Here is a 16,968-nt window from a genome sequence, read left to right as displayed (position 1 = left end):
ATGAGCGTTGCTCTTAGATGTCCAATTATGCAATGCAAACAAAACTCTTTTTGATGTTCATGAGCGTAGAACCCAGTCTGAAGTTCTGTGACATTACATTTCCCCACTAAACTTTATCCTCTTGATCTTCAGTTAATATTAATCTTTGATAGACATGCTCTAATAGCCCTCATTCATTCCTACATGGATTCTATTTTTCCTTTTAAAAATATCTCAATTACTTTGTGCAAACTGGGCTCATAAGGGCATTTTGAGCGTCCTTACATTAGGCTCCTGGTGAATGACTGCTGATATCATGAGTATTACCAAGTTCCTGAGAACTTTCACTTGTGTATGGTGGGTGTGTATGTATGTGTGTGCGTGCATAATTGGGATGTCCAACTTATCATGTAACTGCAAATGGATATTGTCAACATCACTAATGTAATGATTGAGTTTATACTTTCATTAACTTAAAAATGGCCATTTTTATTCCAGAAACTAGTGGCTTTTCTTCTATCTTTCAAGAGAAGTACACTATTTTCTTAGAGTTTAATAGAGCAAGTATTAACTTGTTATCATAGTGCTCCCAATGTCCTCTGGGAACATGTCTTACTCAATCTGTTTCTCTTATATTTTTCTTACATTAAGAATAAATTTCTGCTATAAGGATAGGGACTTGTATTCCCTGGAACTCTGTTCCCCATATGACTTAGTTTGATGAGAATAATTTCCACTCCCAGCCAGGAAATGAAAGCATAGGGCAGTATAATGTGCATGTGATTGAACTTTTCCAATAGTATAGACTATTAGCACTAAGAATTTGCAAATTTACATGAATTTTTTCCTACCTCATGATATTTTCTCTGTAGCTCTTGAGTTAGATTTTTTATTCAACTTCACAGATGTCATTTTGGTTTCAGACTTAGACATCTTCTAGAGACTTAGCACAGGGGCTGCACTTACAGTCTTAAGGAGGGAAATATTTATTCTTTGTTTTTCCTTTTGAACTGATTTTAAGAGAATATTAAGTCACAGTATGTTTTAACCTATATTCTCAACTATTTTGAAGAAAACGTTGATTAACAATATTTAAGAGATCTGCCTAAAAATAGGAGTATATAGAACACAGTTCAATGGTCTCTTAAAAGCATCATTAAATTTTGTCAACTACTTTATGGTTTAATTCATTATTATAAGCAGTGGTTATTAATTTTCTCATGGATATTAAGGTTTAAAAAACTACACATACTTGTTTATAAAATCAAATTATATCTAGCTCTAAGATCTACAGCCTGGATAACGGAAAACAGTTCATGTTTGGAAGGCTCCTACATCAGTCTCTCCAATTTAAGCCATTATAATCTAGGGCTGCGCAGGCAGCTCCTCCGCTCACATTCTCTGTTCTCACCATAGGCATCTCAACCCTAGAACCTTTGCCCAGGTCCCAAAACATTTGACCGCAGGCCATTGCTGCATCCACAGCAGCGTCCTGCCATCAAACTGGCAGCACCAAGGAGAAATGAACAGGCTACCACTTGCATGTTCCCTACCCTCTGCTCTGCTCAGTCTCAGGGACGAACAAGTTGGTCATGTTCTCCTTATTCAACTCTTTCCATCATCTTTCAGAGTTGGAAAAGTCAGGCTGCAATTTCAATGAGCCCAGGTTTTTAAATAAATCAATCAATAAATAATAGTAACAGCAAAGCTTAATTAGTGCTTACTGTATGTGGCACTTCAAATGTTTTAACTTAATAATCACAACATTAAGACCTACTTTTATTGTATCCATCTTGCAGATGAGGAATACTGAGACACAGAGAGGTTAAGTGACTTGTCATTTAGTCAATAAGTGACAGAACCAGAATTCTAATTGATACATTCTGGCCTCAGAGCTTATACTCGTAGCTACTACATTTTACTGCCTCTCAGTATGATGAAGCCCTATTAATCTTTTCCTAAGTAAAATAAGTTATCTACATCTTCAATTTATTGAGGCTTGATTTTATGGAGTGGTAACTGTGGTTGGGGAAAGAATAGGTGAAGGAAAATACTTCCCATACTTAATTTTTCATGAAACACCTCCAGGAGAATATAAAATACTGTTAAATTGTCAGCTAGATAATTTTTCCATATACATGTTGTAAGGCCTCAAATATGCTCCCATTATAACTGGGATATGCAATGAAAATGTATTTTCCTTTTTTTCTTTTCTTTTCTTTTTTTTTTTGAGATGGAGTCTCGCTCTGTAGCCCAGGCTGGAGTGCAGTGGCTCGATCTCGGCTCACGGCAAGCTCTGCCTCCTGGGTTCATGCCATTCTCCTGCCTCAGCCTCCTGAGTAGCTGGGACTACAGTCGCCCGCCACCACACCCGGCTAATTTTTTTGTATTTTTAGTAGAGACGCGGTTTCACCATGTTAGCCAGGATGGTCTCAGTCTCCTGACCTTGTGATCCGCCTGCCTCAGCCTCCCAAAGTGCTGGGATTACAGGTGTGAGCCACCGCACCTGGCCAAAAAAATGTATTCTCTATATTTTCATCTTTAAGTGTTCTGGTCTTCTATGTAAGCTCCCTCCTGCTTGATAATGTGATGGGAATGTTACCAAAATCCAAAGTAGTTGTCAACTTAATTTGATTTAACAGTTTAAACACCCAAGTTGTGCACGATCTATTGGGTTAATTACCCAAATTATCTTATTTTTAAACTCTCCCTCTTTGAGTCCTTTCTAAAATGGAGGGTATCAATTAAATTTTGTCAGCTACATTGTGGTTCAAATCATTATTATAATGGGCAAGTGGCTTACAGGACTTCATACTGTGGAGGGCTTGGAATCCCCTGGCTTTTCCCTGTGCTTGTCATTCAGCACCTATGACCTTTGAAATGTTACTGGCCCCATGTATGAATTTTCCTGTGACCTCTTGAGCAAGAGCGACTCATGGTGTCTCTCTCTCTCTCAACTTGGTCATAGCCCAGAGGCAACTTTCTGGATACCATGGTCTCCAGGGCTTTTTCAGCCCTGCTGAAACTTTACCATATTTTTCATCACGTCTTTGGCCTAGGTGGGCCACTCATACTTTTCCTCTGGTATTGTCTTGCTGTGGACTAGGAGGAGACTACTCATTCTCATCTGAGTGGTCAGGTCATGCAGAAAAAAAGGAGGTGACAGCCGGACCTGGTGGCTTACCCCTGTAATCCCAGCAGTTTGGGAGGCCGAGGCGGGCAGATCACCTGAAGTCAGGAGTTCGAGACCAGCCAGACCAACATGGAGAAACCCCATCTCTACTAAAAATACAAAATTAGCCAGGCATGGTGGTGCATGTCTGTAGTCCCAGCTACACCAGAGGCTGAGGCAGGAGAATCACTTGAACCCGGGAGGTGGAGGTTGCAGTGAGTCAAGATCACGCCATTGCACTCCAGCCTGGGCAACAAGAGCAAACCTCCGTCTCAAAAAAAAAAAAAAAAAAAAAGGAGGTGACATTTAAGTGAAAATTAGAGCCTCCTTTTCTCCTTTATTATGCCTTTTATTATTGTTTGCCTCTTAACCCCCCTAGTTAAGCCCCAGTGCTAGTGTGAAATGTTCCATCCAGGGCCCTCCTCATAGGGTATCAAACCAATGTCAGAGCAAGAATTCTCACCCCTGTGCTTATAGCTACTACCCCTGTCACTAAGCTAAACCAGGCAAGCGAAATTGGGAAAAATACCTGATTGTATTCCTTTCCTTCCTCTCTCATTGTATCCTCCCCTTTTACTCCACAATCCCCTGGATGAACTCCTGCATTTCTCAATATCATAGTCACCTTCTACAAAAGATAACAAGCTTTATGTACACAACTTTCTTTTCATAAGTTATATTTTTGCAATTCAATTTTGTGGCTATGAAAATCTTACTTGCTAGGTACATGATAAATGGATTTTATAATAACTGTTCTTAGCTTTAATCCCCAACTCCCATTCCTCAAGAAGGCAGAAAATTAATGTTCCAGTTATTTATGGCTATGTAACAAACCACCCAGACACTTAGTGATTTAAAATAACAATCATCTTTTATTTTGCTCACAGATTTACAATTTGGGCAGGAAAGTCTCATCTCTGCTACAGACTGAATTAATTGTGGTAGCTCAACTAGGTCTGGAAGATGCACTGCCAACATGGCTTACTTACATGGCTGGCAAGGTGGCACTCAGCTGAGGCTATTGGCCAGGTATCTTGGTACCTTAGATACCACAAGGTGTCTCATGCCTTTCCACAAGGATTTTCCACAGTCGCTTCTACCTCACAACACAGTAGCTATGTTTCGATTTAAAAAGTAAAAGAGAGTAAAAGCAATCAATCTTGTAAGTCCTGGGCTAGAAATTGGCTAAAAGTTATTTTGCTATATTCTGCAAGTCAAAGTTTTCACTGAGCCTCCTGAATCCAAAGGAGGAGGGAAAGGGAAGAGGAATGCAGACGCCACCTCTTGATGGGTGAAGTACAAAAAAATCTATGTCCATCTCTAGTCAATCACACTTAATTTAGTAATTTCAAGTTAAATTAAGCTGGGGCTTTTGCAGTTTATTACTCTTTAAAAACAAGTCAGATGGGCAGATCTTTTAACGATGGTAAAGAAGTCAGCAAATCCTGTCTCAAAAACAATACTATAAAACTAAACAAAATTTTTAAGAACAATCATCTAAGAGCTCAGAACATCAAGCAAGATTAAAAACAAATTAAGAAGTATTTAATTATGGAAAACTGTAGACCATTAGCTAAGAAGAGTGGGAATCTGTTGGTACTATCCCATTTTGACAGCTCATGTGGTAGGATGGTGATACCAAGGCAGAGTTGGTTATCAAAACCAGCAACTTCACTGCTGGATGGGGCTGGGTTATTTTTGAACTGAGGCCAAAAAAATCCATTTCTAGCTGGACTGTTAGTAAAAATGGTAAAATTGGTAGAAAATGAACAAGAAAAGCACACAGCCCTGCTATTCTGAGTTGTGATTGCTCTTAATGGAAGATGGCAGAACCAAAGAGTAGCCTGGAATTTAACAAGGAGATCTTGGAAATAAGAGAACCATACATGGACAAGGTAATTTCTGCATACAACTCTAGCTAGGGTGACACATAAATGTGAAGAAACCCCCCAAAAAACCAATCTCACCACACATTCTTGGCTGATTTGGAGTCTGTGTGGACACACAGGAAAGACCCGAGAAAGCTTAAGCTCTTCATACATCCTTCATTGAAAGAAAGGTTGTGCATCTATGCGTGAAAGATTTGGGAGGGCCTAGTGAAAAGAAAAGCAAGAATAAACTAGAAAAATGTATAAGTTTTGAATACACTCAGCAAGCTACACAAAGATCCATCAGTAAATGCTAAAAGCCCTTTTAAGTTCAGAAAATCGAAACAAACAAAAAGCAATAACAATTCTCAAACGGAAAAACAGAATCCAAAATTTCTTAAATGTATTACCCAAAATGTCTAATTTTAAACAAAGAAAAATGAGACATGCAAAGAAACAAGAAAATGTGACCCATATGCAGGGGAAAAAACGTAGTTGAAAGAAATGAACTCTGAGTGAACCCAGATGTTGGATTTGGCAGAGTTGTCAAAACACCTATTATAAATATATTCAGAGGATTAAAGGAAGCCCTGTTTAAAGATTTAAAGGAAGATATAATGACAATAATTCTGCAATAATAAATTTCAATAAAAAATCAAAATTATTTTTAAAAGAAACAGAGTTGACATAAAATAAGAAAAAATCAGTAAACTTGATTATGGATGACTAGGAATTATCCACCCTGAAGAACACAGAAAGAAAAGATTGAAGAAAATTTAACAGAGCCTCAGAGACCTGAGGGACAACACTCAGCATACCAAATATTTGTAGTAGAATTCCCAGAAGGATAGCAGAGAGAGAAAAAGGGTAGGGAAAATACTTGAAGAAATAATGAACAGGGACTTCCTAAATTTTATTTAAAAATGTTAATACATAGATTCAAGAAGCTCAATGATGCCCAATTTTAAAAAGCACAAAGAGATCCACACCTAGACATATCATGATATTCAAACTGTTCAAACCCAAAGAAGGAAATAAAATATTAAAAGCAGCAGGAAAAAAACAACTTATCACACACAGGAAACAATACATGATTAATAGATAACTGCTCATCAAGCAAGAAAAAGAAATAAAGGGCATCCAAATAGGAAGAAAGGAAGTCAAACTATCCTTGTTTGCACATGGCATGATTCCATATCTAGAAAAGCCCATAGTCTCAGCCCAAAAGCTGCTTCAGTTGGGAACCAACTTCAGCAAAGTTTCAGGATACAAAATCAATGCACAAAAATCACTAGCATTCCTATACACCACCAACAGCCAAGCCAAGAGTGAAATCAGAAAGGCAATCCCATTCACAATTGCTATAAAAAGAATAAAATACCTAGGAAAACAGCTAATCAGGAAGGTGAAAGAGCTCCACAATGAGAATTACAAAGCAGTGCTCAAAGAAATCAGAGAAGACACAAATGAATAGAAAACATCCCATGCTCACAAATAGGAGGAATCAATGTCATTAAAATGGCTATACTGCCCAAAGTGATTTACACATTCAATGCTATTCCAATCAAACAACCAACAACATTATTCACAGAACTAGAAAAACTATTTTAAAATTCATATGGAAGGAAAATAGAGCCCAAATACCTAAGGTAATCTTAAGCAAAAGGAACAAAGCTGGAGGCATCCTATTACCTGACTTCAAACTATACTATGGGGCTACAGTAACAAAAACAGCATGGTACTGGTACAAAAACAGGCACATAGACCAGTGGAACAGAATAGAGAGCCCATACATAAGGCCGCACACCTACAACCATCTAATCTTCAACAAAGCTGACAAAAACAAGCAATGGGATACAAACTCCCTATTCAATAAATGGTGCTGTGATAACTGACTAGCCATATGCAGAAGATTGAATTTGGAACTCTTTCTTACACCGTATACAAAAATTAACTCAAGATGAATTAAAGATTTAAATGTAAAACCCCAAATTATAAACATCCTGCAAGACAACCTAGGCAATATCATCCTGGACATAGGAATGGGCAAAGATTTCATGACAAAGACACCAAAAGCAATCACAACAAAAATTGACCAGTGGGATCTAATTAAACTTAAGAGTTTCTGTACCACAAAAGAAATTCTCAACAGAGTAAATAGACAACCTACAGAATGAGAGAAATTATTTGCAAACTATGCATCTGACAAATGTCTAATATCCAGCATCTATAAGAAACTTAAACAAATTTACAAGAGAAAAACAAACAACCTCATCAAAAAGTGGGCAAAGAACATGAACAGACACTTTTCAAAAGAAGACATGCATGTGACCAACAAGCATATTAAAAAAAAGCTTAATATCACTGATCATTAGAGAAATGCAAATCGAAACCAAAATGAGATACCATCTCACACCAGTCAGAATGGCTATTATTAAAAAGTCAAAAAATAACAGATGCTGGAGAGGTTGCAAAGAAAAGGGAACATGTATATACTGTTGGTGGGAGTGTAAATTAGTGCAACCATTGTGGAAAGCAGTGTGGCAATTCCTCAAAGAGTTGAAAGCTGAACTATCTATTCCACCCAACAATCCCATTATAGCCAAAGGAGTATAACTCATTCTACCATAAGGACATATGTGCACAAATGTTCATTGCAGCGCTATTCACAGTAGGAAAGACATGGAATCAACCTAAATGCCCATCAATGACAAATTGGATAAAGAAAATATGCTACATACATACCATGGAATACTATGCAGCCATTAACAAAGAACAATATCATGTCTTTTATGGGAACATGGATGGAGCTGGTGGCTACTATCTTTAGCAAACTAACACAGGAAGAGGAAACCAAATAGTACATGTTCTCACTTATAAGTGAGTGCTAAATGATAAGAACTCATGAACACAAAAAGAGGAACAACAGACACTGGGTTGTAATTGAGGTCGGAAGGTGGGAGGAGAGAGAGGAGCAGAAAAAATAACTATTGGGTACTTGATTAATACCTAGCTGATTAAATAATTTGTACAACAAACCCCCATACCACGACTTTACCTACATAGCAAACCTTCACGTGTCCCCAGACATAAAATAAAAGTTAAAAAAAATCATATGCAAACACACTGTACAAAATAATTGCTGTTATAAAAAATTGTCCTTGAATAATTTGGTGTCTACATAACATGCATTGAGGGTTACTTCCAGTGTCATAATATTACTTATTTAATGATAATATTTTTGGATAACGCTACTAAGACTGCATGTAGAATATTTTTTAAATAATACTTTCTCATATTAAATTTCCAGTTGGCAAAAACAACAAAAAAAGGATAACTGCTCAACAGAAACAACAGAAGCCAGAAAGTGGTAGAATGAAATATTCTACATACTGAAAGAAAATTACTGTCAACAAAGAATATCCAGCAACTTCAAAAGGAAGGCAAAAAAATAACATTCTCACTTAAACAAAGGCTGAGAGAAATAAATGCTGTGAGACCTGTCTTACAAGATGCTAATAGAAGTATCTCTGGCTGAAAAGAAATGACACCAGATGGTAACTAGATTCCATAGGGAGAAATGAAGGCCAGAAATGGTAAAAATGTGAGGAAATATAAAAGAGTGCATAAAATATTTTCTCTTTTCTTCTTCAATTTTCTTTAAAGACATAATATTTTATAAAGCAATAATTATAATAGTTAACACTCTATTTGGGGTTTATAACATACTTACATATATCTGAAAATAGATGGTGAATAGAGCAATATTAGAGGAAATGTGCTATATGTAATGGAATTAAGTTGTTATATTTAATTGAAATTAAGCCACTTGGGTAGAACATGATAAGTTAAAATTCATATTGTAATCTCTAGGGCAATTACCAAAAAATAACTCAAAAATATATTTTAAAAATCAAAAGAAAAATTAAAATAGGATGCTAAGAATATTTGTCAACACAAAAGGTGGAACAGAGAAACAAAAATGACAAGAGACAAAGAAAACAAACAAGAGATAGACAAAACTCCAAACAGGTGAGTAAATATATTAAATATTAATGGTCTAAACACTCTAATCCAAAGGTAGAGATTATCAGATTGGATCAAAAAAGCATTATCCACATATGTCCCATTTACAAGAGAAACAGTTCAGATTCGAAGATACAGACAGATTGAATGTAAAAGAATAGCAAAATATATACTATGTAAACTTTACAATTTAAGTATACTTATTAACGAGCTGGAATGGCAAAAATATATGTTTGAGAGAAGAAATATTACTACAGGTTTATCACCCCAATCTGAAAATATAAAATTTGAAATGCTCTAAAATTTAAAACATTTTGAGTGCCAACATGATGCCACAAGTGGAAAATTTTACACGTGAGTACTTAACATAACCTTTTTGTACAAAATTATCTTAAAATTACATGAAGTTACCTTCAGGCTATGTGTATAAGGTATATATGAAACACAAATAAATTTAAATGAATTTTGTGTTGAGATTTGGGTCACATCCTCAAGATATCTCATTATACATGCAATTATTCCAAATCTGAAAAATCTGAAATCTGAAACAACTTCTGGTGCCGTGCATTTCAAATAAGGAATAATCAATCTGCAGAAATAAAAAGGAACATTTCATAATAACAAAAGGGTCAATATATCAGGTACATACAGTAAGTCCTCAACATCATTGACAGGTTTTTGGAAACTATGACTTTGAGCAAAATGACATGTAACAAACCAGTTTTTTTTATCAATGTTACAAAGAAACAATGTTGAATAAAACAACATAATTTGGAGGACCTGCTGTACATAATTTCATTTAAAATTACAATTTCCAAGAACATATGGACAACTTTAAGTGAAGATTTATTGTGCAATACTTATAAATGTATATGCACCTTAAAAGGAGCACCATAATACATGTAGCAAAACAAAACCCTAAAGACAAATAGATATTTCAACAATTGCTGTTAGAGACATCAATATCTCCTTCTCAATAATCGGTATAACAACAACTTGGAAAATCATCATGGATGAAGACTTGAATAATATCAGTCAACTTGACTTAACTGATATTTACAAAACACTCCACCCAAAAACAGCAAAATAATCTTTCTTTTAAATACACATAGAACATTCTCCAGGGTAGACCAAATACTATAGGACATAAAACAAGTCTTAATATATTTAAAAGTATTACAAATCATTTAATGTATGAGTTACTATAAAAATGGAATACAATTAGGAAGCGACAACAAAAATTACATAGAAAAATCCCCAAATATTTGGAAATTAACAGAGAGTTAAAAGAAGAAATCACAAGGGAAATTAGAAAATAATTTGAACTGAATGAAGAAAAAACAACATATTACAACATATCAAAAGTAACAAGATGGAGGTAAATCAATGCTCAGAGAGAAATGTATAGCTTTAATTACCTATTTTAGAAAAGAAGAAATTATAACTCAATCATTTATACTTCCTCTTTGAGAAACTAGAAAAAGAAGAACAAATTAAATACAAAAATAAGCAGAAGGGAGAGAATAATAAAAAGCAGAGCAGAAAGCAACAAAATAGAGAAAAACAATAGAGAAAACCGATGAAATCAAAAGTTGGTTCTCTTAAAAGATCATAATATTGTAAAATCTTTAGCTAGACTGGCCGAGAGAGAGACAGAAAGATAAACCACAAATCATCAAAATTGGGAATAAAAGAAGGGACACTGATACTGACTTTACAGAAATTGAAATATAAGGGACTATTATGAACAACTCAATACCAACAGATTAAACAACTTTGATAAAATGAACAATGCCATAGAAAGACATTAACCCCAAAACTGACTAAAGAAGAAACAGATAATATACATGTACCCATAACAAATAAGAAATAGAATTGGTAATTAAAAGTTTTTCCACAAAGAAAAGCCAAGACCCAGGTGATTTCGACCATGAATTCCATCAAATACTTAAAGAGAGTATATTATCAATGCTACACAAACACTTTTCAAAAATATGGAGGGATGAACACGTCACAACTCATTTTTTAAGCCAGAAATATCTGATAGTGAAGCCAGAAAAAAAAATCACAAGAAAGCAGCAGATAAATATCTTTCAAGAACATAGATGCAGAGGAATACCATGAGAAAATGTTAGCAAACCGGACCCAACAGCATATTCAAAGGATAGCTAGTAAGCACACATAAAGATAGTCAACACTGTAAGCCATTATGAGAATGCAAATTAAAACCATAATGAGATATCACTATATACCTACTAGAATAGCTATAATTAATGTATCAAAGTTACTGTCAATATCAAGTGTTAACAAAGATATGGAGAAACTAGAAGCCTCACACATTGCAGGTAGAACATATAATAGCACAGACAATTGGAAAAACAGTCCAGCAATTTCTGAGAAAGTCAAGTATAAACATACTATTTCAATCAGCAATTCCACTCCTAGGTATCTATCCAAGAGAAATGAAAACGTATGTCCATGTTAGTAATTGTATATGCATGTTCTTAGCAATGCTATTCTTAATACACAGAAACTAGAAACAATCCAAATGTCCATCATCTGGTTAATAGATAAATGAAATGCATTATTATCTATATAATGAATACTATTCAGCAATAAAAATGAATTACTAGTACATTTACAATATGAATGGAACTAAGAAATTATGCTAATGGAAAAAATCCAGATGCAAAAGACTACATACTGTATCATTCCACTTAAATAAATTTTCTTTTTTTTTAAGAAAAGAGAATCTATAGGTAAACAGCTTAGTGATTGCCTGGAGAAGAAGTTTAGAATGGGAATTGACTACAGTGAGGTACAAAATAACTTTTGGGGATGAAGAAAATGTTCTAAAACTAGATTGTGGGCATGGTTTCACACCTCAATAATTTACTAAATGTCATTGAATTGTACACTTACACAGGCATTTTTTGGCATGTAAATTTTATTTCAATAAAGCTGTCTCTAATAAAGCAAGTCAATTTAGTATTTTCCTTCTTTTGAACCTCTTACTTTCTTCCAGGTTAGATTATTCTTCCTCTAGTAGCATCCCAACAATTTGGAGGGGATTTGGGTGACAGACCGTCTGTAGCAATACTGTACTGGAATTCATTGAAATGTATCGGTATTCCATTAAAATCACTGTCAGCTGCCTTCCATATTTCCATTTGCTGAAATTCCTGTTCTCTCACAGGCCTTCAGTCCCGTGCTTCATACTGCCATCTTTGGAGAGCAACCCTTTAATCCATAATGCTCTTGTAGGTTTTTCCTGATGAACATTCTTCAATAAAGCATATGCACCCAAATTCTTATTTCAGACTTGGCTTCTAGGGAACCTGACCTCTTAGCCCTGACACCCTATGCAATATTCTGTTTACTAACTCTACTCTTCTGCTGTGTGCGGTGCATTTAAAATCTTGCTCCACACAGAGTTCCAGATGGACATGCCTCTGCAATTTCTACCCTACTATTTACCATGTCGTAATAGTGTGAAATAACTTTCTATAATGCTTTCTGTCTTCCCAAACATCAGTCAAGGAATGAAACAAAGACTCACTCTATTCTCAATACTCCAAATCCCAGGAGTTGAAATGCCTGGGAGCGGAGTGCATTCTAATCTAAATACAGATGATCCTGTCTCTAATCCTGGATTAACCTCCAAAATCTCTTTACCTGGTCTGAGGAACCACATTTTCTTCCCCAATCTTTCTGTCTTTAAAAGCCAAGTGTATAGCATCTTGGCTGGACCCTTTCTCCATTGGAACACTAATGCTTTTGAACTAATGAGAATGAAGACAATCTGTGGCAATAAAGTGTGGGATTTCCTAAACAACTTGATTAATATCAAAATATCACCCTACTCTATATGATGGCATACATATATATATATTATATAATTGACATACATATGCACAGTAACTAATATTTTTGGTCTCATCTTAACATTTTTAATTCTAAAAATTAAGATCTAGTGACAGATTGGCAGAATTCCCATAATGCCTAGTGATTCTTTAGATGAATACAATTACTGATTGTCCAGTGTTGTCCCTGTTGACAATATTTGAATGCTAATATATTTCTACTTCCTAACACAAAGAAGTTTAACAGATTGTCATTATCATTATCTTTCTTCCAGTACTTCTAAAAACTTTTGAGACTATCAGATAGAATAATTTTTTAAGATAAGATAATGTAATGAAAACTGCAGAGGCTCTGAAGGCAGATAAAAACTTGAGTTTCAATTCTGGTTCTTCAATTTTTTGTGAATGACCAAAAAAGGAAAAAAAAATGTGGCTCCCTTAAGTGTGAGTTATTCATGTAAATGAGGAGTTGTTGTTTTGAAAATTATATGTGATAAATGTATGTCACAGCTCAATATAAAACATAAAGCACATCAAACATATTGTAGTAACTTTATTGGATACTTTGTAAGCAACCACTGAGTTCATCAATGGGAGTGATATGGTTTGATTTTGTGTCCCCTGCCCAAATCTCATGTTGAATTGTAATTCTCAATGTTGGAGGAGGGACCTGGTGAGAGGTGTTTGGATCATGGGGTGGATTTTCCCCCTGCTGTTCTTGAAATAGTGAGTGAGTTCTCATAAGATGTGGTTGTTTGAAATTGTGTAGCACTTCTCCCTTTGCTGTCTCACTCCTGCTTCACCATGGTAAGATATGCTTGCTTCCTCTTTGCCTTCTGCCATGATTGTAAGTTTCCTGAGGCTTCCCAGCCACACCTCCTGTACAGCCTGTGGAACTGTGAGTCAATTAAACCTCTTTTCTTCATAAATTACCCAGTCTTGGGTAGTTATTTATAGCAGTATAAGAACAGACTAATATAGAAAATTGGTATGAGAGAAGTGGAGCATTGCTATAAAGATACCTGGAAATGTAGAAGGAACATTGGAACTGAGTAATGGGAAGAGGTTGGAGCAGTTTGGAGGGAACAGAAGAAGAAAGGAAGATGAGGGAAAGTTTGGAACTTCCTAGACATTTGTTGAGTAGTTGTGACCAAAATACTGTTAGTGATATGGACAGTGAAGCCCAGGCTGAGATGTTCTCAGATAGAGATTAGCAACTTATTGGGAACTGAAATAAAGGTCATTGTTGCTGTGCTTTAGCAAAGAGACTGGCAGCATTGTGTCCCTGCTCTAGAGATCTGTGGAACTTTGAACTTGGGAGGGATGATTTAGGGTATCTGGTGGAAGAAAATTCTAAGCAGCAAAGTGTTCAAGATGTGGCCTGGCTGCTTCTGAAAGCCTATAGTCATTTGAATAAACAAAGAAATGACTTGAAACTAAAACTTATATTTAAATGGGAAGCAAAGTATGAAAGTTTGGAAAATTTGCAGCCCAACCATATGGTAAAAAAGAAAAACCCATTTTCTGGGGAGGAATTCAAAGCTGCAGAAATCTGCATAGTAAAAAAAAAGAGGTGAGTATTAATAGCCAAGACAATGGGGAAAATACCTCCAGGGCATTTCAGAGACCTTCATGGCAACCCCTCCCATCACAGCCCTGGAGGTCTAGGAGGGGAAAATGGTTTCATAGGCCAGGCCCAGGGTCCCACTGTTTTGTGCAATCTTGGGACATGGTGCACTGCATCCACGCAGCTACAGCTGTGGCTAAAGGAGGCCAAGATACACCTTAAACCATAATGTCAGAGGGTGCAAGCCCCAACCCTTGGTGGCTTCCATGTGATATTGGGTCTGCAGGTATGCAAAAGGCAAGAGTTGAGATTTGGGAGCCTCTGCCTAGATTTCAGAAGATGTATGGAAATGCCTGTATGTCCAAGCAGAAGTCTGCTGCACGGGTGGAGCCCTCATGGAGAACCTCTACTAGGGCAATGTGGAGAGAAAATGTGGGGTTGGAGTCCCAACACAGAGTCCCCACTGGGGCCCTGCCTAGTGGAACTGTGAGAAGAGAGCCACTGTCCTCCAGATGCCAGAATGGTTGATCCACTGACAGCTTGCACTATGCTCCTGGAAAAGCCACAGGAACTCAACAGCCTATGAAAGCAGCCCCGGGGCTATACCCTGCAGAGCCACAGGGGCAGAGCTGACCAAGGCCTTGGGAGCCCACCACTTGTATCAGTGTGGCTTGGATGTTAGACATGGAGTCAAATATTATTTTGGAGCTTTAAGATTTAATGACTGCCCTGCTGGATTTTGGACTTGCAGGGGGCCTTTACCCCCTTTGTCTTGGCCAATTCCTCCCTTTTGGAATAGGAGCATTTACCCAGTGCCTGCACCCCCATAGTATCTTGCAGGTAACCAACTTTGTTTTTTATTTTACATGTTCATAGGTGGAAGGGACTTGCCTTGTCTCAGATGAGACTTTGGACTTGGACTTTTGAGTTAATGATGAAATGAGCTAAAACTTGGTGACTGTTGGGAAGACATGATTGTGTTGTGCAGTGTGAGGAAGACATGAGATTTGGCAGAAGCCAAGGGTGGAATGATATGGTTTGGCTCTTTGTCCCCACCCAAATCTCATGTTGAATTGTATTCCTCAATGTTGGGGGAGGGTCCTGATGGGAATTGATTAGATTATGGGGGCGGATTTCCCCCTTGCTGGTCTCATGATAGTGAGTGAGTTCTCATGAGATCTGGTTGTTTGAAAGTGTTCTCACTCTCTCTCCTGCTCCACCATGGTAAGACGTGCTTGTTTTCCCTTCACCTTCTGCCATGTTTAAGTTTCCTAAGGCCTTCTAGCCATGCTTCCTGTACAGCCTGTGGAACCATGAATCCATTAAACCTTTTTCTTCATAAATTGCCCAGTCTCAGGTAGTTCTTTATAGCAGTATGAGAATGGACTAATACAAGAAGGAATAAGGGAAAATTTCAAACCTGAAAGGGGAATGAGAAGAGTTTGATGAAAAAGTAGTACATATATCTGTGTGTATGCAAGGGGTTATTTCTAGTGAGAAAGATACTATGAGACAAAGAGAGAGAGAGGAGAGAGGCAGAGACACAGAGACAGAGAGAATGGGTGTAGTTTTATTGTCCCAACTTTATTCCAAAAGAGGAGGAGGAAAAGAAAGAAGTATGATGTCAAGAGAAAGGCAATCAGGTACTTTGTTTATTTTTCTCTCATTTATTAATGCTTTCACATTTTCTGGTTGAACTTACTTATCAGAGAAAGTGAGAACCTGAAACACAAGTGGAAAAAGTCAGAGAGTGTAGAAGCTGAGTATAAAATATAAGACCTGATATGAAGAACACAAGTGCTAAGCATTGTGTTGCATGGAGGCCAGGTTCCATAGCAGAAAGGAGGAATGGTCTGGGTTCTGCCTGTGTCCTCTGCCAACTGCTGGGACCACCTGTTGCTAAGATATGATTCTAGCTCTAATGTTTGAGAAGAATGGAAGAAAGAAGTCAACTGAGGCCACGGACACATCAATTAACTGAACTCAGCTTCCATTTCCTTATCAGCAAAACAGCAGCAGGGCTGGCAGAATTGGAGATAATGTCTGTGGAGAGCCTAGCACATATTAGGTAATAAATGAATCATGTCTCTAATTATCCCAATGTGCAAAAAGAAAACATTCTCTACCATGCCAGCTAAAATGAATGAGAAGACATATATAGGGAAAAAATGGTGATTTTTAACAGACAGTTTCAGCTTTCATAGGCCATCTGTAGACATAATCTTTTCTATACTTGTATTATTGCTACTAAAGTTTAAATCTTCTTGTGCTAAAAGGGCTTGCAAAGGATGAGAATGAAGGAGCATGAGGCTGTCCAAAATAATGGATATCTTCTGGTGCATGTACCAGAACCCGCCAAGCTATGTGAGAAATTCCTAAAATAATAACCTGCATTCCCACTACTATGGAAAGGGAATATTTATTGTTGTCATTTCCTCAACTGTTATCATTATTGCAATTTTCTGAATTCCCTGCTAGACCAATTAATTCCTA

The 16,968-nt window shown here is 36.7% G+C and overlaps 1 long non-coding RNA gene across 2 annotated transcripts in view; it reads right to left on the bottom strand.

Annotated features, from left to right (window-relative positions):
- LINC02941 (long intergenic non-protein coding RNA 2941) overlaps nucleotides 1-16,968 on the bottom strand; it is a 117,403-nt gene that overhangs the window by 58,450 nt on the left and 41,985 nt on the right. The gene's annotated exons all lie outside the window — the stretch shown is intronic.

This window comes from Homo sapiens, chromosome 6 (assembly GCF_000001405.40).
Source record: "Homo sapiens chromosome 6, GRCh38.p14 Primary Assembly".
Taxonomy (NCBI): domain Eukaryota; kingdom Metazoa; phylum Chordata; class Mammalia; order Primates; family Hominidae; genus Homo; species Homo sapiens.
Note: the sequence above shows the minus strand (reverse complement) of the source record. Positions and strands in the feature narration are given on the sequence as shown.